The sequence below is a fragment of the Homo sapiens genome, chromosome 6, assembly GCF_000001405.40.
Source record: "Homo sapiens chromosome 6, GRCh38.p14 Primary Assembly".
NCBI classification, from domain to species: Eukaryota; Metazoa; Chordata; class Mammalia; order Primates; family Hominidae; genus Homo; species Homo sapiens.
In genome coordinates, this window is record NC_000006.12 from 30,570,940 (window position 1) to 30,593,718 (window position 22,779).

At 48.3% G+C, this 22,779-nt stretch overlaps 1 protein-coding gene and 1 non-coding gene across 3 annotated transcripts, besides 1 other annotated feature; both read left to right on the top strand.

The window, feature by feature from the left end:
* Positions 123–684: an enhancer, noted in NCBI's record as "H3K27ac hESC enhancer chr6:30538839-30539400 (GRCh37/hg19 assembly coordinates)". NCBI's record gives its function as "activates a minimal SCP1, AML or CMV promoter by ChIP-STARR-seq in primed H9 embryonic stem cells {active_cell/tissue: H9 hESC(primed)}" and the evidence as "EXISTENCE:reporter gene assay evidence [ECO:0000049][PMID:30033119]".
* On the top strand, positions 503–20,583 carry ABCF1 (ATP binding cassette subfamily F member 1). Of its 2 annotated transcripts, NM_001025091.2 has the most exons (25): positions 503–621; positions 6,470–6,516; positions 6,879–6,974; positions 7,137–7,263; positions 7,409–7,446; positions 7,531–7,638; positions 8,992–9,066; positions 9,467–9,580; positions 11,455–11,568; positions 12,127–12,249; positions 12,669–12,769; positions 12,866–12,951; positions 13,253–13,392; positions 13,479–13,627; positions 14,321–14,404; positions 14,619–14,743; positions 14,940–15,052; positions 15,195–15,366; positions 15,535–15,609; positions 15,702–15,772; positions 18,749–18,781; positions 18,867–19,035; positions 19,210–19,274; positions 19,367–19,439; positions 19,596–20,583. In NM_001025091.2, the coding sequence occupies exons 1-25, from the start codon at positions 549–551 to the stop codon at positions 19,760–19,762; spliced, it is 2,538 nt and encodes an 845-aa protein (NP_001020262.1). In that variant the 5' UTR covers positions 503–548; the 3' UTR covers positions 19,763–20,583. The 2 variants fall into 2 exon arrangements, with proteins under 2 accessions (NP_001020262.1, NP_001081.1); NM_001090.3 differs by lacking the exon at positions 11,455–11,568.
* Positions 13,393–13,478, top strand: MIR877 (microRNA 877). Its single transcript, NR_030615.1, has one exon. It is a non-coding gene; the product is annotated as a microRNA 877 (primary transcript).

The following is a 22,779-nucleotide window of genomic DNA, read 5'->3' on the forward strand; positions in this document are numbered from 1 at the left end:
GTCTCCTCTCTCTTCCCCTTCCTCTCGTGTCTTCCTTGCCTACCAGCCTCACCTGATGGGCTCGTGTTCTCTCCGTCCCCGATCCACTCGGGCTCCGGCAGCTGCTGCTTGGGCGCCTTCGGCATCGCGGTGGCAGAACTAGAAACGAGTTACAGATAGAAACTAGAATATGCTTTTTAAAAAAACAAAAAACAAAACAAACAAAAAAACAGTATGCCTCAACTCCTTCATACTAGTAGGAAATTATTATGTTCATTCCTTGAGTCTCGCGGCGTCGGGAGGTCACGGCGTCAGGCTTCCCAGACAGTCGTAAACGCCATGTGTTTACGCGACTGGAGCAAGCGGACGCCGGCCCCGCTCCGTCATTGCAGGCCACGCCTCCACTGAACCAGGGCCACGCCCCCGAGATGACGGCGAAGCTCGCACGTGCGCAGCCCGGGGGCGGGGTTGGCCGCGCCAGCTTGGAGAGCCAGCCCCATCGGGGTTCCCCGCCGCCGGAAGCGGAAATAGCACCGGGCGCCGCCACAGTAGCTGTAACTGCCACCGCGATGCCGAAGGCGCCCAAGCAGCAGCCGCCGGAGCCCGAGTGGATCGGGGACGGAGAGAGCACGAGCCCATCAGGTGAGGCTGGTAGGCAAGGAAGAAACGAGCAGAGGGGGAAGAGAGAGGAGACTGCGCGTGTTTTAAGAGAGGGTCATGGGGCACGAGACTGACCGGGCCCCTGCGGGAGTTACTGCGCATGCGTGCCGTGGGCCCGGGAGGAGTTTGCCGGGGAGGAGTGGGTTTGGAATCGGGGTTAAAGGAAAGAGATCCAGATGTCGCACGTGACCTAAGTGAGACTGGGCGAGATAAAAGAAAGAGCATATGGCACCGAGGGAGAGATGGGGAGAAATGGGAAAACCTTGCTTAAAAAATTTGGACATCCGCCCCACCATACACTGTATTCCACCAGGAATATATGAGCCCTGCCTCGACCTCCCCTTCCCCCTGCGCGCGCATACACACACCTTGGGAGCCTGTGATCCCCCTTGTTTCTCAAGAGAGGGTGACTCCTTCATGGTTTCTTTCTTAAGACACCCCTCTCACTCAACTGGAGCAAGAGTGTAGATTTTTGATGTTGGAATGAGGGTTAAGGTTTACTTAAAAAGCAGCGAAAGTTTGTTAAGCGCTTGTTTTTAATTAAGCACTCTATATACTGTGCTTTGAGAGGGGAAGGAAAAAAACATGAAGATATCCTCCCAGGGTTGAAGTCAGTTTTAAGGGGGACATAAATGGACACAACTAACCCCAGTAGGTACACAGTAACTAATTTTAAAAGCACTTATTGGATGCCTACTGTATACCAGGTACTGTGTGGAGGAAGTGGGAATGTAGAGATAAAAGATAAGACTTTCCCTCAAGGGACAACCCAGTATGGTGAAGGGTCAGAGCATTAACCAGACAGACAGTGGTTGTCAGAGTATGATGAAGGTGCTTAAGAATGTTATGGGACTGTAGAAGAGAGGAGGAGCATCTACTCAGACAGGTAAGGGAGTGTCAGCAAAGCCTCCCAAGAATATGTAATAGCTGAGTATTTTTTTTTGAGGCACATTGTAGCTCCATCACCCAGGCTGGAGTGCAGTGGCATGAACATGGCTCACTGCAGCCTCCACCTCCTGGGTTTAAAGGATCTTCCTGCCTCAGTCTCCCAAGTAGTTGAGACTACTGGCATGCACCACCACACCTTATTTTTAAAATTTTTTGTAGACACAAGATCTGGCTATGTTGCCTAGGCTGGTCTCAAACTCCTGGGCTCAAGTAATTCTCCTGCCTCAGCCTCCAAAAGTGCTGGGATTACAGGCGTGAGCCACTACATCTGCTCCCCAGAGTTTATTCTTGAAAGATCATCGTGAATTAGCAAGGGGAAGCGCATTCCAAGCCAAGGAAGTTTGTGGAAGGTAGAGATGTAGGCAAGCCTGACTGGTCCCACTAGAGCCTGGTGACTAGTGTGATGAAGTCAGAAAGATGCTCAGGAGACAGATAATGAAAGGCTTTAGATGCCATTCCGAGGAGTTTAATCCTAAAGACATTAAGAAGGAAGGCCCATTGAAGTGCATAAGGAATGATTATGAACAGTTCACCTGTAGCACTGAGCAATGGAGAATGAATGGCCTTGAACTGGTCAAGATGGAGGCGGGGAGACCATTTAGGGGGCTCTGGCCATGATCTAGGTGAGAAGTGGTAAGGGGATAAGCCAAGGCCTGAAGAATAAAGAGTTACTAAGGAGGCGGCATTGATCGGAACTGAGAACTGATTAAATGAAGGGAGAAGTAAGGTTGACACTTAAGTAACCCAGTGACTAGTAGACTATTAACTGAAAGCAGTAATGGACAGGAGAGTAAGAAGTGGAAAGAGATAAGGTGAACTTCTGAATGCTGAGTTAGGCGTTTCTGAGGATTTCTAAAAGGAAATGGCAAGAAGAGAGTTTGTTTAGTCACTGTGGAGAGACAACTATACTAGGAGTAAAGACACAGGCAAGTAGAGTTGAAGTGCTGGATATGGAAGAGTCCCCTAGAGAGTGTTTGCAGATTGAACCAAAAAGAAGGTTAAAGGTGGGAACCCTAAAGAACTTCAGCAATTGCAGGAAGCAGGTGGGGAAGGAGGCTGAAGAGATGAGACTGAGAAAGGCAAACAGCCAGAGAAACTGGAGGCAAACCAGGAGTGAGCAAGATCCCAGAAATTAAATAATGATAGAAGAGAATAAAAAAGGTGTGGAGGTAGGCAGCATGGAATGCTGCAGAGAAGTCAGGCAAAATAAGGACCAAAAAATACTTTGTGGTTTGAGGAGCTAAGGGTTCAGTGGCAACTTTGGCAGAAGTAGTGTTCATTCGGAGATGATACCAGATTGCAGTATGTTTCAAAGGTATGGGAGAAGAGAAAGTGAAGCTTGTGAATTACGATTTTGAGACCCAATGAGGACAAGAATACGAAACAGTAATGGGGGAGAGGGGTATAAGGGTAAAGAAGGCTTGCTTTCTTGCCTTGAAGGAGCAGCTTAAGCGATATACGAAAGGAGAGAAGACACAGTATATCTCTAGCCACACTTAATCTTTTTCAGTTCCTTGGGGATTATACTTTCTCACAATGAAACTCTTCGGAGGCTTTTCCTGTCCCTATAATGAAGTGGATAAGAGTGATTAAAGTACAAAAGATTTTTTTGGTTTTGGTGGGTTTTTTTTTTTTGTGACGGAGCCTCACTCCAGGCTGGAGTGCAGTGGCGCGATCTCAGCTCACTGCAGCCTCAATCGCAGGCTCAAGCCATCTTCCCTTGTAGCTGGGACTACAGGCACACACCGCCATGCCTGGCTTATTTTTTGTTTGTTTTTGTTTTTTGTTTTCTGTAGAGATGAGGTCTTGCTATGTTGCCCAGGCTAATCTTGAACCTCTGGCCTCAACCAGTCCTCCCACCTTGGTCCCCAAAATGTTGGGATTACAGGCGTGAGCCAGTGTGCCTGGCCACAAAAGAGATTTAAAGGAAGGAGAGATGGTATGGCTGTGTTAGTCCTTGGGGAGAAATTAGTGTCTGGGATGAGTCAGTCATCTGTGTTGATAAGGTGAGCTGATCAGGTTTTTCCTTCTTAGGTACTTCAGTAGATCCTTCCTCCTAATGCCTTTAGGATTAAACTCCTTGGAATAGCATATAAAGCCTTTTATTATTAATCCTGCACAATTTTTCAACTCTCACACTAGTCACCCAATACTGGGCTCAGATTTTTTTTCTTTAACTTTTTTGTTTGTTTTTTGTGGTTTGTTTTTTGGGGAGGAGGAGGGCCCCAAACTTTGAAATGTGTTCTGGATGGAGGATGCAGATTAAGCAAAGACAGACATAAGCGTGCCTGGGACTTCATAAAGGAACAGAAAGAAGCCAGTATCGAGACCAGAGGTGTGGGTAGGGAAACAGAAAAGATAGGGTAGGGCCATTTTAGTCTGTGAAGCCTTTAATTATTGGAATTGTCTCTCGTTAACTCTAGTTTTTTGGAGAAGTAGATGCACCATAAAACTTTCCTGAATAAATGATTACTTTGAAATACATGGAATTCTAGTCTGAGAATATTTTAATGTAGTAGATGGCGGATACCATTGACTTTTTTTCTTTTTTTTTTTTTTTTTTGAGACAGTCTCGCTGTGTCACCCAGGCTGGAGTGCAGTGGCGCGATCTTGGCTCACTGCAACCTCCACCTCCCAGGTACAAGCGATTCTCCTGCCTCAGCTTCCCAAGTAGCTGGGACTACATGCGTGCTCTGCCACGCCCAGCTAATTTTTGTATTTTTAGTAGAGATGGGGTTTCACCATGTTGGCCAAGCTGGTCTCAATCTCCTGACCTTGTGATCCACCCACCTTGGCCTCCCAATGTGCTGAGATTACAGGCCTGAGCCGCCGCACCCGACCAATTTTTTTTTTTTTAATATTAAATACTGAAATGCTTAAGGGTAGAATTAGATAGCAGTGAATGGAAGGGATGTTTTGGAAGAGAAGATAATAAATAGGCCTAAGCCTGAAGGGAAATCATGAGGCTGCCTCCAGTAGGGGAGGGAGTTGGACATGGTCCTCTACCTTCAGGGAAACAAGGATGGAGAGGGGGAGAGCTAGAATCTGTTGAATCTGTTTTGGCTTTACTGGGAACACAGGCTAAACAGTCTCTCAGGTTACTCTCTAGAATGAAAGCACACAGACAGGTAAATATGACACAATGTGATTTGTGCTATAATATTCAAGCAGAACAAGTAAGGCATAGACTGAGGTGTTCATTTGCTTACCAGATAACTCTATTTACATGGCCTATAGGTTTTACAAACAACGTGTCCCCCTGGCCAGGCACAGTGGCTCAGGCCTATAATTCCAACAGTTTGGGAAGCTGAGGCAGGAGAATTGCTTGAGGCCAGAGGTTCAGGATTAGCCTGAGCAACATAGTGAGACCTCCTCTCTAAAAATTATTATTTTTTTAATTAGGCAGGCATGGTGGCGCTTGCCTGTAGTCCTAGCTACTCAGGAGGCTAAAGTGGGAGGATCACCTAAGCCTAGGAATTTAAGGTTACAGTGAGTTATGATCATGCCACTGCATTCCAGCCTGGGTGACAGAGCAAGACCCTGTCTCTTAAAAAAAAAAAAAAAAAAAGGAGGGTGTGTGTGTGTTGTATACATGTGTGTGTATCTACACATATCTCCCAAATTGAATTTATAATATCTTCTTCCTTCCTATAAGACCTTCTCTTCCACTGCCTCCTTAATTAATAAATGGTACCACTTAGCCCAGCTAATTTTGCCAGCTAAAAACACAGGAGTCATCTCTGAGTGCTCTTTTTTTTTTTTTTTTTTTTTTTTTTTTTGAGATAGAGTCTTGCTCTGTCACCCAGGCTGCAGTACAATAGCGTGATCTCAGCTCACTGCAACCTCCGCCTCCTGGGTTCAAGCAATTCTCCTGTCTTAGCCTCCTGAGTAGCTGGGATTACAGGCGCCCGCCACTATGCCTGGCTAATTTTTTGTATTTTTAGTAGAGACTGGGTTTCACCATGTTCACCAGACTAGTCTTGAACTCCTGACCTCAAGTGATCCGCCTGCCTCTGCCTCACAAAGTGCCGGGATTACAGGCATGAGCCACCGCGCCCGGCCGGGTGCTCTTTATTCCCCACCTCTAGCCCCATCCTATGAATTCTTCTTTATGTCCGCTTGTCACCACCACCCAGACTACTCTGACAGCCTCCCCAGTGGATTTCCCACTATGCTTATTCCCTCCGATTCTTGCTGTACTCTGAAGCCAGAGTGAAACTTTAAAGTGTGAAAGTGATCATACCAATAAAGTCCCCATTCCTTAACCTTGCTACAAGGCCCTCACTCCAGCCTTACCTTGCACCATTCTCCCCTCAGTCTGTAAGCTTAGCCATACCAAACCTTTCCCTGTCTCTCAGTGTGTGTGCTTTCTCACAGCTGGGCCTGTGCACAGCACTGGAATTACACCATGTGTCTGACTAACTTCTCATACTCCTCATTACTTCAGTTATTTGCTTAAATGCCATCTTCTTAGAGAGGCCGCCACCAGAGATGAAGCCAGCCTCTCCCCCACCACCAAGTAGGCTTTACCTTTTCTTTTGGAACCTTCAGTACACCTGGAATTACCTATTTAAAAATCTCTCTTCCTATAGCCTGCAAGCTCCAGAGGAGACCACATTTGTCTTGTTCATTGCTATGATCCCCTACGCTAGCACAATATCTGACACATGGTAGCTGTTTAGTAGATACTTAGTGGATGAATGAATAGAGATGGGAATGATTATTTCTGCAGGAGTTGTGAGACAGTACAAATATTTAAGGAGTGATAGTTAAGCTAGAAAAATAATAAAATAGGATAGAGGCTACAGAGATCTTTGCAGGGGGGATCAGACTGCTTTGGAATTTGCAGATAAGCATTCACGATGTCCGCTTAACTTTCTAGACAAAGTGGTGAAGAAAGGGAAGAAGGACAAGAAGATCAAAAAAACGGTGAGAAAATGAGGGTTGAGGATAAGAAATGACTATGGATGTTTCCAAGCTAAATAAATAGCCATGTGAAGGAGGTGGGAGGTCCAAGGGAGGAGAAAAGATCTTGTCAAGAGAGGAGATAGGCAGGGCACGGTGGCTTACACCTGTAATCCCAGCGCTTAGGGAGGCAGAGGTGGGAGGATAGCTTAAGCCCAGGAATTTGAGACCTGCACACTCCATTCTCCACAAAAAGAAAAAAAAGAGAGAGACAGGAGGTAAGGTGAGGGTGGAGTGGAGGGCCAGTGGGCCAATGTGTGGCAGAGCACAGCCTGCTTGGATTGCTCTTGGAAACATGTTTACCTGTAGCTTAACTCCCTTTATAGTTCTTTGAAGAGCTGGCAGTAGAAGATAAACAGGCTGGGGAAGAAGAGAAAGTGCTCAAGGAGAAGGAGCAGCAGCAGCAGCAACAGCAACAGCAGGTACAAGTGCCACAGGGCCCACCAATCCTGGGAGGCATCTGGGTTCCACCAACCCCTTTCCAGCCCATGTTGCTCCATTCAGCTGATGGGGAACCCTCTGTGAGGCAGAAATACAGCAGGGGCCTGGGCTTCATTTTCTCACTGTTCTTTTGCTCTCAGCAGCAAAAAAAAAAGCGAGATACCCGAAAAGGCAGGCGGAAGAAGGATGTGGATGATGATGGAGAAGAGAAAGAGCTCATGGAGCGTCTTAAGAAGCTCTCAGTGCCAACCAGTGATGAGGAGGATGAAGGTAAATGACCTGAGGGGGAATGGGTACCTGGAATCCATGAGTCATGGAGAGTGATACCTCATACCCTGATCTTCAAGTTGGATTCAATTGGGGGGCCAGACATTGTAATTCTTTCCTATCTCATGTTCTCCCCCTGTCATTTCAGTACCCGCCCCAAAACCCCGCGGAGGGAAGAAAACCAAGGTAAGCCATCTGTGTGGTAAACGGAGACTCCAAGGATGCAACCTTGACCATCCTACTGACTTCTGTGGCCCTTTCATTCTCTAGGGTGGTAATGTTTTTGCAGCCCTGATTCAGGATCAGAGTGAGGAAGAGGAGGAGGAAGAAAAACATCCTCCTAAGCCTGCCAAGCCGGAGAAGAATCGGATCAATAAGGTGACAGTGGTGGCTCGATCAGTCACTCTCACTCCATTTAGCACCTTCTGGCCATGGTGGAGTAATTTCCCGCTTTTAAACTAGCTCTTCTCGGTCTGTCTTACTTATACTGTTAAAATCATCTTTTTAGAATACATGCCCAGGCTGGGCACAGTGGGTCACGCCTGTAATCCCAGCACTTTGGGAGGCCGAGGTGGGCGAATCACGAGGTCAAGAGATCGAGACCAGCCTGACCAACATGGCGAAACCTCATCTCTACTAAAAATACAAAAATTAGCCAGGCGTGGTGGCGTGCGCCTGTAATCCCAGCTACTTGGAAGGCTGAGGCAGGAGAATCACTTGAACTTGGGAGGTGGAATTTGCAGTGAGCTGAGATTGAGGCACTGCACTCCAGCCTGGGCAACAGAGCAAGACTCAGTCTCAAAAAAAAAACAACAAAAAAAACCATGCCATTTTTATCACTCAGAAATCTACAGTGATTCTGTTGCTTTAAGCACAGAACCTGAAACAAAGCCCCAGGTCCTTGCTCTTCTACTTGTGACTCTTCTGCGTGTGCATCTTAGTCCATGTCCATTTGAGCTCTTGAGAAAGCCTCCAGTGCTAGTGCCACTCACTCTGGTGGCGCACTTGCCTGACTTATAATCCTTAGCCTTGCTGACGTTCCCTAGTTATCTCTTCGCTATCTAGTCTGAAGCTGGAGGGTAGGGTTTTTCTGGGTCTCATTTTTCGTCAGCAGCACTCAATACAGATGGTCTCCAACTTCTGCTTCGGTGTACGATTTTTCTACTTTATGATGGTGTGAAAGTCATACTCATTTAGGGTACTCCTCAACTCATGATGGGATTATATCCAGATAAACCCATCATAAGTTGGAACTATTTTTTTTTTTTTTTTTTTTTGAGACGGAGTCTCACTCTGTTGCCAGGCTGGAGTGCAGTGGCGTAATCCTGGCTCACTGCAACCTCCGCCTCCCGGGTTCAAGTGATTCTCCTGCCTCAGCTTCCTGAGTAGCTGAGATTACAGGCACGTGCCACCACGCCCAGCTAATTTTTGTGTTTTTAGTAGAGACAGGGTTTCACCATGTTGACCAGGATGGTCTCGATCTCTTGACCTTGTGATCCACCTGCCTTGGCCTCCCAAAGTGCTGGGATTACAGGTGTGAGCCACCACGCCCGGCCAAGAACTATCATTTTTTATTTAAGTTTCTGGTGGGTTTATCGGGATGCAACCTGTCGTAAATGGAGGAGCATGTGTATGGTTAACACAGTAGACTCTCTAGAAATGCTTATTACACAGCAAAGTAGCACAATAATTTGTATGTATGTGTGTAATGTGTATGTGTGTCTCCTCCAGGCCGTATCTGAGGAACAGCAGCCTGCACTCAAGGGCAAAAAGGGAAAGGAAGAGAAGTCAAAAGGGAAGGCTAAGGTGAGAGAGTAACTAGCAGGAGGAGGTATTGGGGCCCAGGAATTAAAACATTTCATCAGGGCTGGGCGCGGTGGCTCACGCCTGTAATCCCAGCACTTTGGGAGGCCGAGGTGGGCGGATCACGAGGTCAGGAGATCGAGACCATCCTGGTAACACGGTAAAACCCCGTCTCTACTAAAAATACAAAAAAAATTAGCCGGGCGTGGTGGCGGGCGCCTGTAGTCCCAGCTACTCGGGAGGCTGAGGCAGGAGAATGGCGTGAACCCGGGAGGTGGAGCTTGCAGTGAGCCGAGATTGCGCCACTGCACTCCAGCCTGGGTGACAGAGCGAGACTCCGTCTCAAAAAAAAAAAAAGAAAAAAAAAAAAAACATTTCATCAGACCTGTCTTTTCCCTATTAGCCTCAAAATAAATTCGCTGCTCTGGACAATGAAGAGGAGGATAAAGAAGAAGAAATTATAAAGGAAAAGGAGCCTCCCAAACAAGGGAAGGAGAAGGCCAAGAAGGCAGAGCAGGTGTGTATTTGGTGTTGGGGCAAGGTGGAATGAGGGACTAGGGCTTCCAGGGTCCTTATGGGAGAGTTAGAATCTGGGGATATAGTTATTATCCCAGCAAACCTTTATTCTTTTCTTTTTTTGGGGGAGTAGTTGGGGTGGTGGTTCGTTTGTTTTTGTTTTTGTTTTTGTTTACACAGGATCTTACTCTGTCACTCAGGCTGGAGTGCAGTGGTGTGAACACGGCTCACTGAAGCCTCAACCTCCTGGGCTCAACAGATTCTCCTGCCTCAGCCTACTGAGTAGCTGGGACTACAAGTGTGCACCACTACCCCTGGCTAATTTTTTTATTTTTAGTATAGAGATGAGGTCTCACTATGTTGCTCAGGCTGGTCTTGAATTTCTGGGCTCAAGCAGTCCTCCTGCCTCAGCCTCCCAAAATGCTGGGTTTACAGGTGTGAGCCAGCATGCCAGCCAGCAAACTTTTTCTATAAAGGGCCATATAGTAAATGTTTTTGGCTTTGCAGGCCACATACAATCTCTATCACATATTCTTTTTTTTTTTTAACAACTCTTTGAAAATACAAAAATTATTTTTATAAAGTTCAGGAGCTATATAAAAATAAATGTCAGGTCAGCCTTGGCCCATGGGCTGTAGTTTGCAACACCTAATCCAGTGAAGAAAGGGCCTGGAATTTATCTCAGATGATCTGGGTCCTGGCTCTGCCTTCACTGGCTGTGTGACCTTGAATACATCTTCCCATCCCCTTGGGTCTCACTTGTCTCCTTTGTGTGATAGAAGGAGGAGTCCGGAGATCTCTAGGGTCCCTATGCGTCTGGCACTTCCTAATTCTGTGATTCTGCTGGATTCCTCTGACTGTGCACTAGAGCTTCCTGATCTTTTTTTTTTTTTTTTTTTTTTTGAGATGGAGTCTCACTCCGTTGCCCAGGCTGGAGTGCGGTGGCGCAATCTCAGCTCACTGCAACCTCTGCCTCCCGGGTTCAAGCAATTCTTCTGCCTCAGTCTCCCGAGTAGCTGGGACTACAGGCACGTGCCACCATGACCGGCTGATTTTTTGTGTTTTTAGTAGAGACAGGATTTCACCATGTTAGCCAGGATGGTCTTGATCTCCTGACCTTGTGATCTGTCCATCTTGGCCTCCCAAAGTGCTGGGATTACAGACATGAGCCACCGTGCCCGGACGGCTACCTGATCTTTTCTTTGCATGTTAACAAGGAAACCACAGAAACTCATTTTATACAAATGAAACTCTTGAAATCCATTTACTCCACCTTCAGTTACATTGTATTGGGAGTTACATTTATAGGGACATAACGCGTTGTCACATTTCATAAATACACATTCATACCATTTGTCTTGTACCATTCCTGGTAGCAGAAATTAATAAAGGACCTCAGGGAGACCAGGGGCTGGGTATGAGAATGAGAGAGGATCCCAAGATATTTTAGGACTCTGAGTAGTGAAGGAAAGAGCTGGGGCAGGGACAGGGGGCAGATGATGTGAAATCTGAGTTCTAGAAGGAGTCCCTAGTTTTTTTTTGTTGTTTTTTTTTTTGAGACGGAGTCTTGCTTTGTCACCCAGGCTGGAGTGCAGTGGCACGATCTCGGCTCACTGCAAGCTCCTCCTCCCAGGTTCACACCATTCTCCTGCCTCAGCCTCCCGAGTAGCTGGGACTACAGGCGCCCGCCACCACGTCCGGCTAATTTTTTGTATTTTTAGTAGAGATGGGGTTTCACCATGTTAGCCAGGATGGTCTTGATCTCCTGACCTTGGGATCTGCCCGCTTTGGCTTCCCAAAGTGCTGGGATTACAGGCGTGAGCCACCGCGCCCAGCCAGGAGTCCCTAGTTTTGACCATCCCCGGGTTCTCACAGGGTTCAGAGGAAGAAGGAGAAGGGGAAGAAGAGGAGGAGGAAGGAGGAGAGTCTAAGGCAGATGATCCCTATGCTCATCTTAGCAAAAAGGAGAAGAAAAAGCTGAAAAAACAGGTAAGACCTTGGTTCTTAGCGGTCAAAAGTAGGGGATTTTTAAATACTTCAACTAGGGGACATGCGATTGGGGACACGAAGGAAAGGTTTGGGGGCTACTCCAAGTAAAACAATCGGAGTAAGAAAATAATTGTGTTCTGTGAACCTTATCTCAATGTCTGATGACATGGGCTGTTTCACTTTGGGGTTTTTTGTTTATTTTTTGAGACAGGGTCTCACACTGTTACTCAGGCTGGAGTGCAATGACGTGATCTCTGTTCACTGCAGCCTCAACCTACCAGGCTCAAGTGATCCTCCCACCTCAGCCTCCCGAATAGCTGAGACTATGGGTGGCACCACCATGCCTGGCTAATTTTTGTATTTTTTGTAGAGACAGTATTTTAGCATGTTGGCCAGGCTGGTCTCAAACTCCTGAGCTCAAGAGATCCACCTACCTCAGCCTCCCAGAGTGCTGGGATTACAGGCGTGAGCCAGCATGCCCAGCCAGCATGGGCTGTTTCATGGTGATGGGAAACTGGTAGACTGTGGCTTCAAATGTAGTTTTTCCTACCTTCTCAGATGGAGTATGAGCGCCAAGTGGCTTCATTAAAAGCAGCCAATGCAGCTGAAAATGACTTCTCCGTGTCCCAGGCGGAGATGTCCTCCCGCCAAGCCATGTTAGAAAATGCATCTGACATCAAGGTAAGGTCTCAAGGGGCCCCTTCCAGTCCACTTACCTAGGGAAGAGCCAGTTCTCTCATCTTCCCTGAGTGGCTGTGGTGTGTGAATGGGTTAGTTCAGTGGGAAGAAAGATTGGAGGCATTTTCCACACCTTAGGTTCTGCCAACTTGAGCAAGAAGATAGAAAAACCAGTAGAAGTGGGGTCCACCCTTGGCAGAAAATAGTGTGGGACAGACTAGACTAGCTGAGGATGCATGGGGCTCCCATTACAGGCAGCGAACAGGGCGGGGACCGGCTGTGGGGAGAGGAAGGGGATTATGCTGGAGGTAGCGGTTTGTCAGAGGCTTCCCTGCAGGGAGAAAGTGGCCGCTCCTGTCCCAAAGGGAGAATTTTCATGTGATCATCCCTTCCCTCTGCCACCTCTTTCCTGATGGCTGCAGCTGGAGAAGTTCAGCATCTCCGCTCATGGCAAGGAGCTGTTCGTCAATGCAGACCTGTACATTGTAGCCGGCCGCCGCTACGGGCTGGTAGGACCCAATGGGTGAGAAGAGGAGGGAGCTGGAGGCAAAAAAGGGCCTGGAGGGAAAAGAAGAGATTTCTCAGTGGTGGCCAGGTCCTAATAGCTTTTATTCCCCAGCAAGGGCAAGACCACACTCCTCAAGCACATTGCCAACCGAGCCCTGAGCATCCCTCCCAACATTGATGTGTTGCTGTGTGAGCAGGGTGAGACCACTGGGGAGAAAAGGGGCTTGGTGGGGTGGGCAGTTGGGTAGAAAAGCCAGCCAGCCAAGAATAGAAGAAATTGTGGCTATGGAGTTGGAAGGGATGTGGAGGGAGACTGGAGACCGGGAAAGGGATGCTAAGGAAAGGAGGGGAGGGTCAATGAGGAACTTGAGAGTGTTTTATTTGGAACAAGTACAAAGAGCTGGGCAGGGTCAGGCAAAACAGAAATGTAATTGAAGGGAAAGAAAGATGAGACTCTTGGCTCTTGAGGCTGCCTGACTGTTCTCCCTCTGCCTCCCAGAGGTGGTAGCAGATGAGACACCAGCAGTCCAGGCTGTTCTTCGAGCTGACACCAAGCGATTGAAGCTGCTGGAAGAGGAGCGGCGGCTTCAGGGACAGCTGGAACAAGGGGATGACACAGCTGCTGAGAGGCTAGAGAAGGTAGAGGAGATGGCGCAGGGGACACGGGCAAAGACTTGGGGGTTCCTGGGACCCTCAGACGTGTGTCCTCTTCTCCCTCCTCCCAGGTGTATGAGGAATTGCGGGCCACTGGGGCGGCAGCTGCAGAGGCCAAAGCACGGCGGATCCTGGCTGGCCTGGGCTTTGACCCTGAAATGCAGAATCGACCCACACAGAAGTTCTCAGGGGGCTGGCGCATGCGTGTCTCCCTGGCCAGGTGGGCCATTCACCTCACTGCCCTCCCTTCCAGCCTCAGACCACCGGGGCCCTTTTCCTCTTTCCCTTCTCATTCTTCCAAGGCCAATAGGGAGGCTCAAGGCTTACCTCTCCCTCCTTACTATCTGTGTTGTGAGAACTTAGGGTCTTTCTCTATTTATCTCCCTACTTGGTGGTGAGTTCTCATCAACATACCCTGCAGCTGGGTGCAATGGGTCACGCCTGTAATCCCAGCACTTTGGAAGGCAGAGGCAGGAGGATTATCTTCAACCCAGGAGTTTGAGACCAGCCTGGGCAATATAGTGAGACTCTATCTTCACAAAAGGGGGAAGAAAACATATCCTAGCCTGGGCAACATAGGGAGACCCTGTCTCTACAAAAAATTTAAAGATCAGCTGGATATGGTGGCGCACGCTGTGGTCACAGCTACTCTGGAGGCTGAAGTAGAAGTATCACTTAGACCTGGGAGATTTAGACTACAGTGAGCCCTTATTGTGCCACTGCACGACAGCCTGGGCAACAGGGCGAGACCCTGTCTCAAAAAAATTAAACCGTATCCTGCCCGAGAACTTCTCTGAGGAGAGCTTGGGAAGGAGTGTTCATGGTCTCAGGCTCTATCTCCGAGTTTTCTCTGGGGTTGTCTGAGCAAGGATCTTTCTCTCCCTGACCCTGCCCTCTGCTACCCACCCTCTAGGGCACTGTTCATGGAGCCCACACTGCTGATGCTGGATGAGCCCACCAACCACCTGGACCTCAACGCTGTCATCTGGCTTAATAAGTGCGTTACGGCCTTTGCATCATTGGTTCCCATTCTGCACTTTCTTCCCCTTCCCTCCCTGCCCTGTTTTCCTTTAGCCCTTCTCCACTGTGCCTGTGAGTGGAGCTCTATTCAGACCCCCCTTTCCCTCCCAGCCCCCGTTGTCTGCCTGCTTCCTCTGAATTCTCTCTCACTTGACCACTGTGACACTTACACCCTGTTCTCTGAAACCCAGCTACCTCCAGGGCTGGCGGAAGACCTTGCTGATCGTCTCCCATGACCAGGGCTTCTTGGATGATGTCTGCACTGATATCATCCACCTCGATGCCCAGCGGCTCCACTACTATAGGGGCAATTACAGTAAGTAGGATTGTGTGTGGATGCAGGGAAGAGATAGAACCTCGAAAAGAGGCCTGAGTGGGAGGGCCTATTTAGATAAACTGAATCCTGTCAGAATTCCAGACAGTGATGCCTACCCCATCACCACCAGTCCCTGGTTGTCCCTTTGCTGGGAAGAGGAGCAACCACTGATGCCTGGTCCCCTCTTCTGCCCCAGTGACCTTCAAAAAGATGTACCAGCAGAAGCAGAAAGAACTGCTGAAACAGTATGAGAAGCAAGAGAAAAAGCTGAAGGAGCTGAAGGCAGGCGGGAAGTCCACCAAGCAGGCGGTGAGCACCTGAGGGACTTCTGGGCTGGGGGCCACTGTTCTCTCCTGGCAGTGGAGGAAGAAGGAGACTCTGGAACGCTGGCCTACATTTCAAGGACTGCCGCGCAGGGCTCAGGTTTCTCTTTTTTCCTCTTCCTCTCCAGGAAAAACAAACGAAGGAAGCCCTGACTCGGAAGCAGCAGAAATGCCGACGGAAAAACCAAGATGAGGAATCCCAGGAGGCCCCTGAGCTCCTGAAGCGCCCTAAGGAGTACACTGTGCGCTTCACTTTTCCAGACCCCCCACCACTCAGCCCTCCAGTGCTGGGTCTGCATGGTGAGTGCCGCGGGCCTCTGCTGCTCCACAGGAAGCACCGGAAGCATGTATGTGCACCCTAAATTCTCCACCAAGGCTGAGATTGCTCCTGTTCTCCAAGGCCAGCACATGAGAGGGACTTTGCAGGGACTGAAAAGAATATAAATTGCTTCTTTTCGTGGCTTTCAGGTGTGACATTCGGCTACCAGGGACAGAAACCACTCTTTAAGAACTTGGATTTTGGCATCGACATGGATTCAAGGAGTGAGTTGGCGGGGTTGCCTCAGGGATGTGTAGCAGGAGCCACAGGGAGAGTCTCTGGGGACCTCTTTGACCACCTGTCTTCCATCTTGCAGTTTGCATTGTGGGCCCTAATGGTGTGGGGAAGAGTACGCTACTCCTGCTGCTGACTGGCAAGCTGACACCGGTGAGTCCTGGAGCCAAGGAGGGAGAGCATGAGAAATGTGAAGACACAGCTGCTTTTGCCAGAAGCTGGAATCAGGGAGCCTCTCGAGAATGTAGAGTTAAATACAGAACTCATGATAGATGATTCATTTCCCTAAGAGGGGCAGTAGAGGAGGAAAGAGCTTAGATCAGTTCAGGGGGGAGAGCTAAGAGAATTAAGATAGAACTAGGGGGCACACCCACGTGTTTTGGTTATACAAGAAATATATGTCTTTTATAGAACGATTAAAAATTGCATAAACGGGCCAGGCACAGTAGCTCACTCCTATAATCCCAGCAGGGATCACCTAAGGTCAAGAGTTCCAGACCAGCCTAGCCAACATAGTGAACCCCGCCTCTACTAAAAATACAAAAATTAGCCGTGTGCGGTGGCGCGCACCTATATCCTAGCTACTCAGGAGGCTGAGGCAGAATTGCTGGAACCTGGGAGGCGGGGGTTGCAGTGAGCTGAGATTGCACCATTGCACTCCAGCCTGGGCAACAGAGCGAGACTCCATCTCAAAAAAAAAAAAAAAAATTGGCCTGGCGTGGTGGCCCACGCCTATAATCCCAACTCTTTGGGGGAGGCTGAGGCAGGCAGATCACTTGAGCTTAGGAGTTAAAAACCAGCCTGAGCCCAGTGTGGTGGCTCACACCTGTAATCCCAACACTTTGGGAAGCCGAGGTGGGAGATCACCTGAGGTCAGGAGTTTGAGACCAACATGAAGAAACCCCATCTCTACTAAAAATACAAAATTAGCCAGACGTGGTTGCACATGCCTGTAATCCCAGCTATTTTGGGAGGCTGAGGCAGGAGAATCACTTGAACCCAGGAGGCAGAGGTTGCAGTGAGCTGAGATTGCGCTATTGCACTCCAGCCTGGGCAACAAGAGCAAAACTCCGTCTAAAAAAAAAAAACAGACCAGCCTGAGCAACATGGTGAAATCCCATCTCTACTAAAAATACAAAAATTAGCTGGGTATGTTGGTGCACGACTGTAGTCCCAGCTACTCGGGAGGCTGAGGTAGGAGAATTGCTTGAGTCCAGGGGGCAGAGGTTCCAGTTAGCCGAGGTCGTGCCACTGCACTCCAGTCTAAGTGACAGAGTGAGGCTCTGTCAAAAAAAAAAAAAAAATGCTTAAGTCAAGAGAAAAATCTGGAGATAACCAGTTTTTTTTTTTTGTTATTTTGTTTTGAGACGGAGTCTCACTGTCGCCCAGCCTGGAGTGCAGTGGTGCGATCTTGGCCCACTGCAACCTCCACCTCCCAGGTTCAAGATATTCTCCTGCCTCAGCCTCCTGAATAGCTGGGATTATAGGTACGCCCCACCATGCCCAGCTACTTTTTGTATTTTTAGTAGAGACAGGGTTTCACCATGTTGGTCAGGCTGGTCTCGAACTCCTGACCTTGTGATCCGCCCGCCTCAGCCTCCCAAAGTGCTGGGATTACAGGCGTGAGCCACCGCTCCCAGCTGAGATAACCAGTATTAATGTTTTAGTGGATATCTTTCTCCTTTTTTCTTTGCAAATGTGCATATAATTTTTAACAAAAATGGGCTGTCATATGAGTTGTTGTGTAGCTAGATTTTTCCAAATATATCAAGCATTTTTCCATGCAATTACTTATTTCATATGAGTCTACCTTTTTTTTTTGAGACAGAGTCTCACTCTGTCACCCAGGCTGGAGTGCAGTGGCACAGTCTTGGCTCACTGCAACCTCCGTCTCCTGGGTTCACGCGATTCTCCTGCCTTAGCCTCCCGAGTAGCTGGGACAACAGGCGCGTGCTACCACGCCCAGCTAATTTTTTGTATTTTTAGTAGAGATGGTTTCACCGTGTTAGCCAGGATGGTCTTGATCTCCTGACCTCATGATCTGCCTGCGTCGGCCTCCCAGAGTGCTGGGATTACAGGTGTGAGCCACCACGCCCGGCAAACTCTACCATTTTATTTGAACTTTTGTAATATATTGCCATCTAGTGTGTTAGAAAGTTTGTAGCCATTTCTGCTCTCTCTAGCAGTGTTGAGAGGCCATTTTCTCATATCCAGAGATTAGATCTTTAGAAAGGTATTATTAGATTCTCCCCAAAACACTAAACTTGCCACATGAGGCCCTTACGATGTACCATTCGTGAGTCTCGCTGTATGGAGAGCAGGTGTTCTTTGGCTGTGGTTAGTCCCTCCTGCTTGTCCCTCTTGTCCTCCATTTTGCTTAACTCCCCTTTTGTCCCTTAACTCTTTTACTTTGCTCACCATGCCTTTGTCATATTAGGGGAACATCCCTGTTCCTTTTCTTTTTTGAGACAAAGTCTTCCCCTGTCCCCGAGGGTGGAGTGCAGTGGTGCGATCTCAGCAACTTCCACCTCCTGGGTTAAAACCATTCTTGTGCCTCAGCCTCCTGAGTAGCTGGGATTATAGGCATGTCCCACTATGCCCAGCTAATTATTGTATTTTTAGTAGAGACAGGGTTTCACAATGTTGGCCAGCCTGGTCTCAAACTCCTGACCTTAAGTGCCTCCTGACCTGCCTTCCTTGGCCTCCCAAAGTGCTGAGATTACAGGCATGAGCCACCGTGCCCAGCCCCTATTCCTTTTCTTATGCATACTTGTCCCTGGCCCATTTCTGGTGTTTGTCTCTCCTTCAGAAAAGTTGGTGTATGGACGAGGTCAGGAGATCGAGACCATCCTGGCTAACATGGTGAAATCCCGTCTCTACTAAAAATACAAAAAATTAGCCGGGTGTGGTGGCAGGCACCTGTATTCCCAGCTACTGGGGAGGCTGAGGCAGGAGAATGGCGTGAACCCGGAAGGTGGAGGTTGCAGTGAGCCGAGATCGCGCCACTGCACTCCAGCCTGGGGGACAGAGCGAGACTCCGTCTCAAAAAAAAAAAAAAAAAGTTGATGTATGGAGCTGCAGCACCTTTTTCCCTTGCCCTCCTCTTAACTACTTTGTCTTCCCTTGCAGACCCATGGGGAAATGAGAAAGAACCACCGGCTGGTAAGTTGGCATTGGGATTTAGGGAATGATAATCTGATGGAGGAAGTGTGACTTTAACCGACCACCTCCCTCTCTTCTCGGGCAGAAAATTGGCTTCTTCAACCAGCAGTATGCAGAGCAGCTGCGCATGGAGGAGACGCCCACTGAGTACCTGCAGCGGGGCTTCAACCTGCCCTACCAGGATGCCCGCAAGTGCCTGGGCCGCTTCGGCCTGGAGAGTCACGCCCACACCATCCAGATCTGCAAACTCTCTGGTACCACTTCAGGGGCCAGGGAGGGTGCCCTTCACCTTATCATTCATGTCTACAAACTGTACCTAGAGGAACCGAGAATGAGGGAGCCTCAGCTCACAAACTGGCACATCTTGAGGGTTTGCCTTCAGAATGTGAGGTGCTAGGTGTGACAGCCCTCCCCTTCCTTTGCTACAGGTGGTCAGAAGGCGCGAGTTGTGTTTGCTGAGCTGGCCTGTCGGGAACCTGATGTCCTCATCTTGGTGAGTGAGCTGGGCTGTGGGAAAAGGGATAAGGGTAACAGTAATGGAAGACGGGAGTTGCAGTGCTCAGTCATGGAATTCCTCCTATGTAGGACGAGCCAACCAATAACCTGGACATAGAGTCTATTGATGCTCTAGGGGAGGCCATCAATGAATACAAGGGTGGTAAGTCAGCTGAGAGTGTGCCCTCATCCCTGCTCCATGGGGACCAAGCTGTAGTGTCCTTCACTACAGAAGGGCCTAGGACTCCCTTATTTCATGTTCTGATTCCCCTCTTTCTCCTTTCTTCCTGCCCTCTGTTGTTGCTATCTTTCTTCAAAGCTGTGATCGTTGTCAGCCATGATGCCCGACTCATCACAGAAACCAATTGCCAGCTGTGGGTGGTGGAGGAGCAGAGTGTTAGCCAAATCGATGGTGACTTTGAAGACTACAAGCGGGAGGTGTTGGAGGCCCTGGGTGAAGTCATGGTCAGCCGGCCCCGAGAGTGAGCTTTCCTTCCCAGAAGTCTCCCGAGAGACATATTTGTGTGGCCTAGAAGTCCTCTGTGGTCTCCCCTCCTCTGAAGACTGCCTCTGGCCTGCAGCTGACCTGGCAACCATTCAGGCACATGAAGGTGGAGTGTGACCTTGATGTGACCGGGATCCCACTCTGATTGCATCCATTTCTCTGAAAGACTTGTTTGTTCTGCTTCTCTTCATATAACTGAGCTGGCCTTATCCTTGGCATCCCCCTAAACAAACAAGAGGTGACCACCTTATTGTGAGGTTCCATCCAGCCAAGTTTATGTGGCCTATTGTCTCAGGACTCTCATCACTCAGAAGCCTGCCTCTGATTTACCCTACAGCTTCAGGCCCAGCTGCCCCCCAGTCTTTGGGTGGTGCTGTTCTTTTCTGGTGGATTTAATGCTGACTCACTGGTACAAACAGCTGTTGAAGCTCAGAGCTGGAGGTGAGCTTCTGAGGCCTTTGCCATTATCCAGCCCAAGATTTGGTGCCTGCAGCCTCTTGTCTGGTTGAGGACTTGGGGCAGGAAAGGAATGCTGCTGAACTTGAATTTCCCTTTACAAGGGGAAGAAATAAAGGAAAGGAGTTGCTGCCGACCTGTCACTGTTTGGAGATTGATGGGAGTTGGAACTGTTCTCAGTCTTGATTTGCTTTATTCAGTTTTCTAGCAGCTTTTAATAGTCCCCTCTTCCCCACTAAATGGATCTTGTTTGCAGTCTTGCTGACAGTGTTTGCTGTTTAAGGATCATAGGATTCCTTTCCCCCAACCCTTCACGCAAGGAAAAAGCAAAGTGATTCATACCTTCTATCTTGGAACATGGGTCTCTTTCCTTTTTTTTTTTTTTTTTTTTTTTGACAGAATCTTGCCCTTTCACTCAGGCTGGAGTGCAGTGGCATGATCTTGGCTCACTGCAGCCTCCACCTCCTGGGTTCAAGCAATTTTCCTGCCTCAGCCTCCCGAGTAGCTGGGATTACAGGCACACACCACCAGGCCCAGCTAATTTTAGTGTTTTTAATAGAGACAGGGTTTTACCATGTTGGTCAGGCTGGTCTCGAACTCTTGACCTCAAGTAATTCACCTACCTTGACTTCCTAAAGTGCTGGGATTATAGGGATGAGCCACTGTGCCCAACTTCTTTTTTTTTCTCTTTTCTGAGACAGGGTCTTGCTGTGTTGCCCAGGCTAGAGTGCACTGTACCCTCAACCTCCTGGGCTCAAGCAATCCTTCCACCTCAGCCTCCTGAGTAGCTGGGACTACAGGCATGTGCCGCCACACTCAACTAATTTTTTTTTTTTTAATTTTTAGTAGAGACAGTGTCTTGCTATGTTGCTTAAGGCTGGTCCTGAACTCCTGACCTCAGGCAGTCTTCCTACCTCGACCTCCCAAAGTGCTGGGGTGCTGGGATTATAGACGTGAGCCACGACGCCTAGCCAGAATTTGGGTCTCATTGTCCAAGTTAATCTCATGAATGAGGAGGTGCTCTGCCCTGTGGCCAGGGACCAGGGTATTGATTCTCTCAAAAATTATTAAATCATCTAGCCAAAATGTACGGTACTGTGGGGTATATAAGAAGGGAAGAGACAAGATCTGCCTTCATTAATAGTCTGGTTAGAGAAGACTTAAAAGTAAGCATGAATAGATAATTAATTTGATCAATTGTCTAATATGTCGTACTCTAGATTCTAAGTTGCCACATACTCAAAAAAGGGAAAGATTATCCAGGGCCTGATTATTTGACAGGGTCACTTGAGGGTAGATCTTGAAAAATGATGATTTGACTAATCAGGGACCAGGGAGCCATTTTTCAGAAGTAGGAAAAGAGCAGATCTCAGGCTTGGGGGGAAGAACAAGCTACTTGGGAGTTAATGGATGATAGCTGCTGTGGCCATTTTTCTTAAGAGTTAGACTGGGGAGATGGGTTTGGAAAGTAAAATGCAAATGGTGGGTAGTGGTATTAGGTGGTGATGTGCAAGGCGTGCTGTAGAAACCTGCAGGGTGAAGCCCATAACTTTTGTTACGGGAATGGGGTAACTGAATCCTAAACTAGCTAGGGGAGATAGGGATGGAAAGAGCAGATGTGGAGGTTGGGGAGAAGGGAGTGACAGGAGATATATCCAGTTCCAGAGGGAATAGGGAGAGCTGTGTGGCTAAGATTTAACTGTTTGGACATTTAATTTGGGGAAATTGTTTTCCAGCCAAGTGAATAAATAATACTGGACTTCAAGTACAAGCTTCATACAGGAAGTGAAGTTTTGGTGTGGAGATAGCTGCATAGTCAGGGAACACTCTAAATTAAAAATAAGGAGGCCGGGCATGGTGGCTCATGCCTGTAATCCCAGCACTTTGGGAGGCGGGCAGATCATGAGGTCAGGAGTTCGAGAGCACCCTGACCAACATATTGAAACCCCATCTCCACTAAAAATACAAAAAAATTAGCCGAGCGTGGTGGTGCACACCTGTAGTCCCAGCTACTCAGGAGGCTGAGGCAGGAGAATTGCTTGAACCCGGGAGGCAGTGGTTGCAGTGAGCCGAGGTTGCGCCACTGCACTCCAGCCTGAGCAACAGAGCGAGACTCTGTCTCAAACAAAAACCAAAAGACATCAGGAAACATGCCTCTTATGGAATTTGAGGGGGAAAAGTCAGGGTCTTGGCAGTGACCTTGGACAAGCCATTAGCCTCTTGATACCTCTTTTCTCATCTGTAAAATGAAGGTGGTAGTTACCTACTTCACAGGGTTATTAGGGGATTCAATGTGTAATAATACGTAAAGTGCCTTAAATTCTGTTGCTTTTGTTATATGTATTTCATATTATATATATATATATATTTTTTTTTTTTTTTTTTGAGATGGAGTCTTACTCTGTTGCCAGGCTGGAGTGCTGTGGCGTGATCTTGGCTCACTGCAACCTCTGCCTCCTGGGTTCAAGTAATTCTGCTGTCTCACCCTCCCAAGTAGCTGAGATTACAGGCACGTGCCACCACGCCCGGCTAAGTTTTGTAC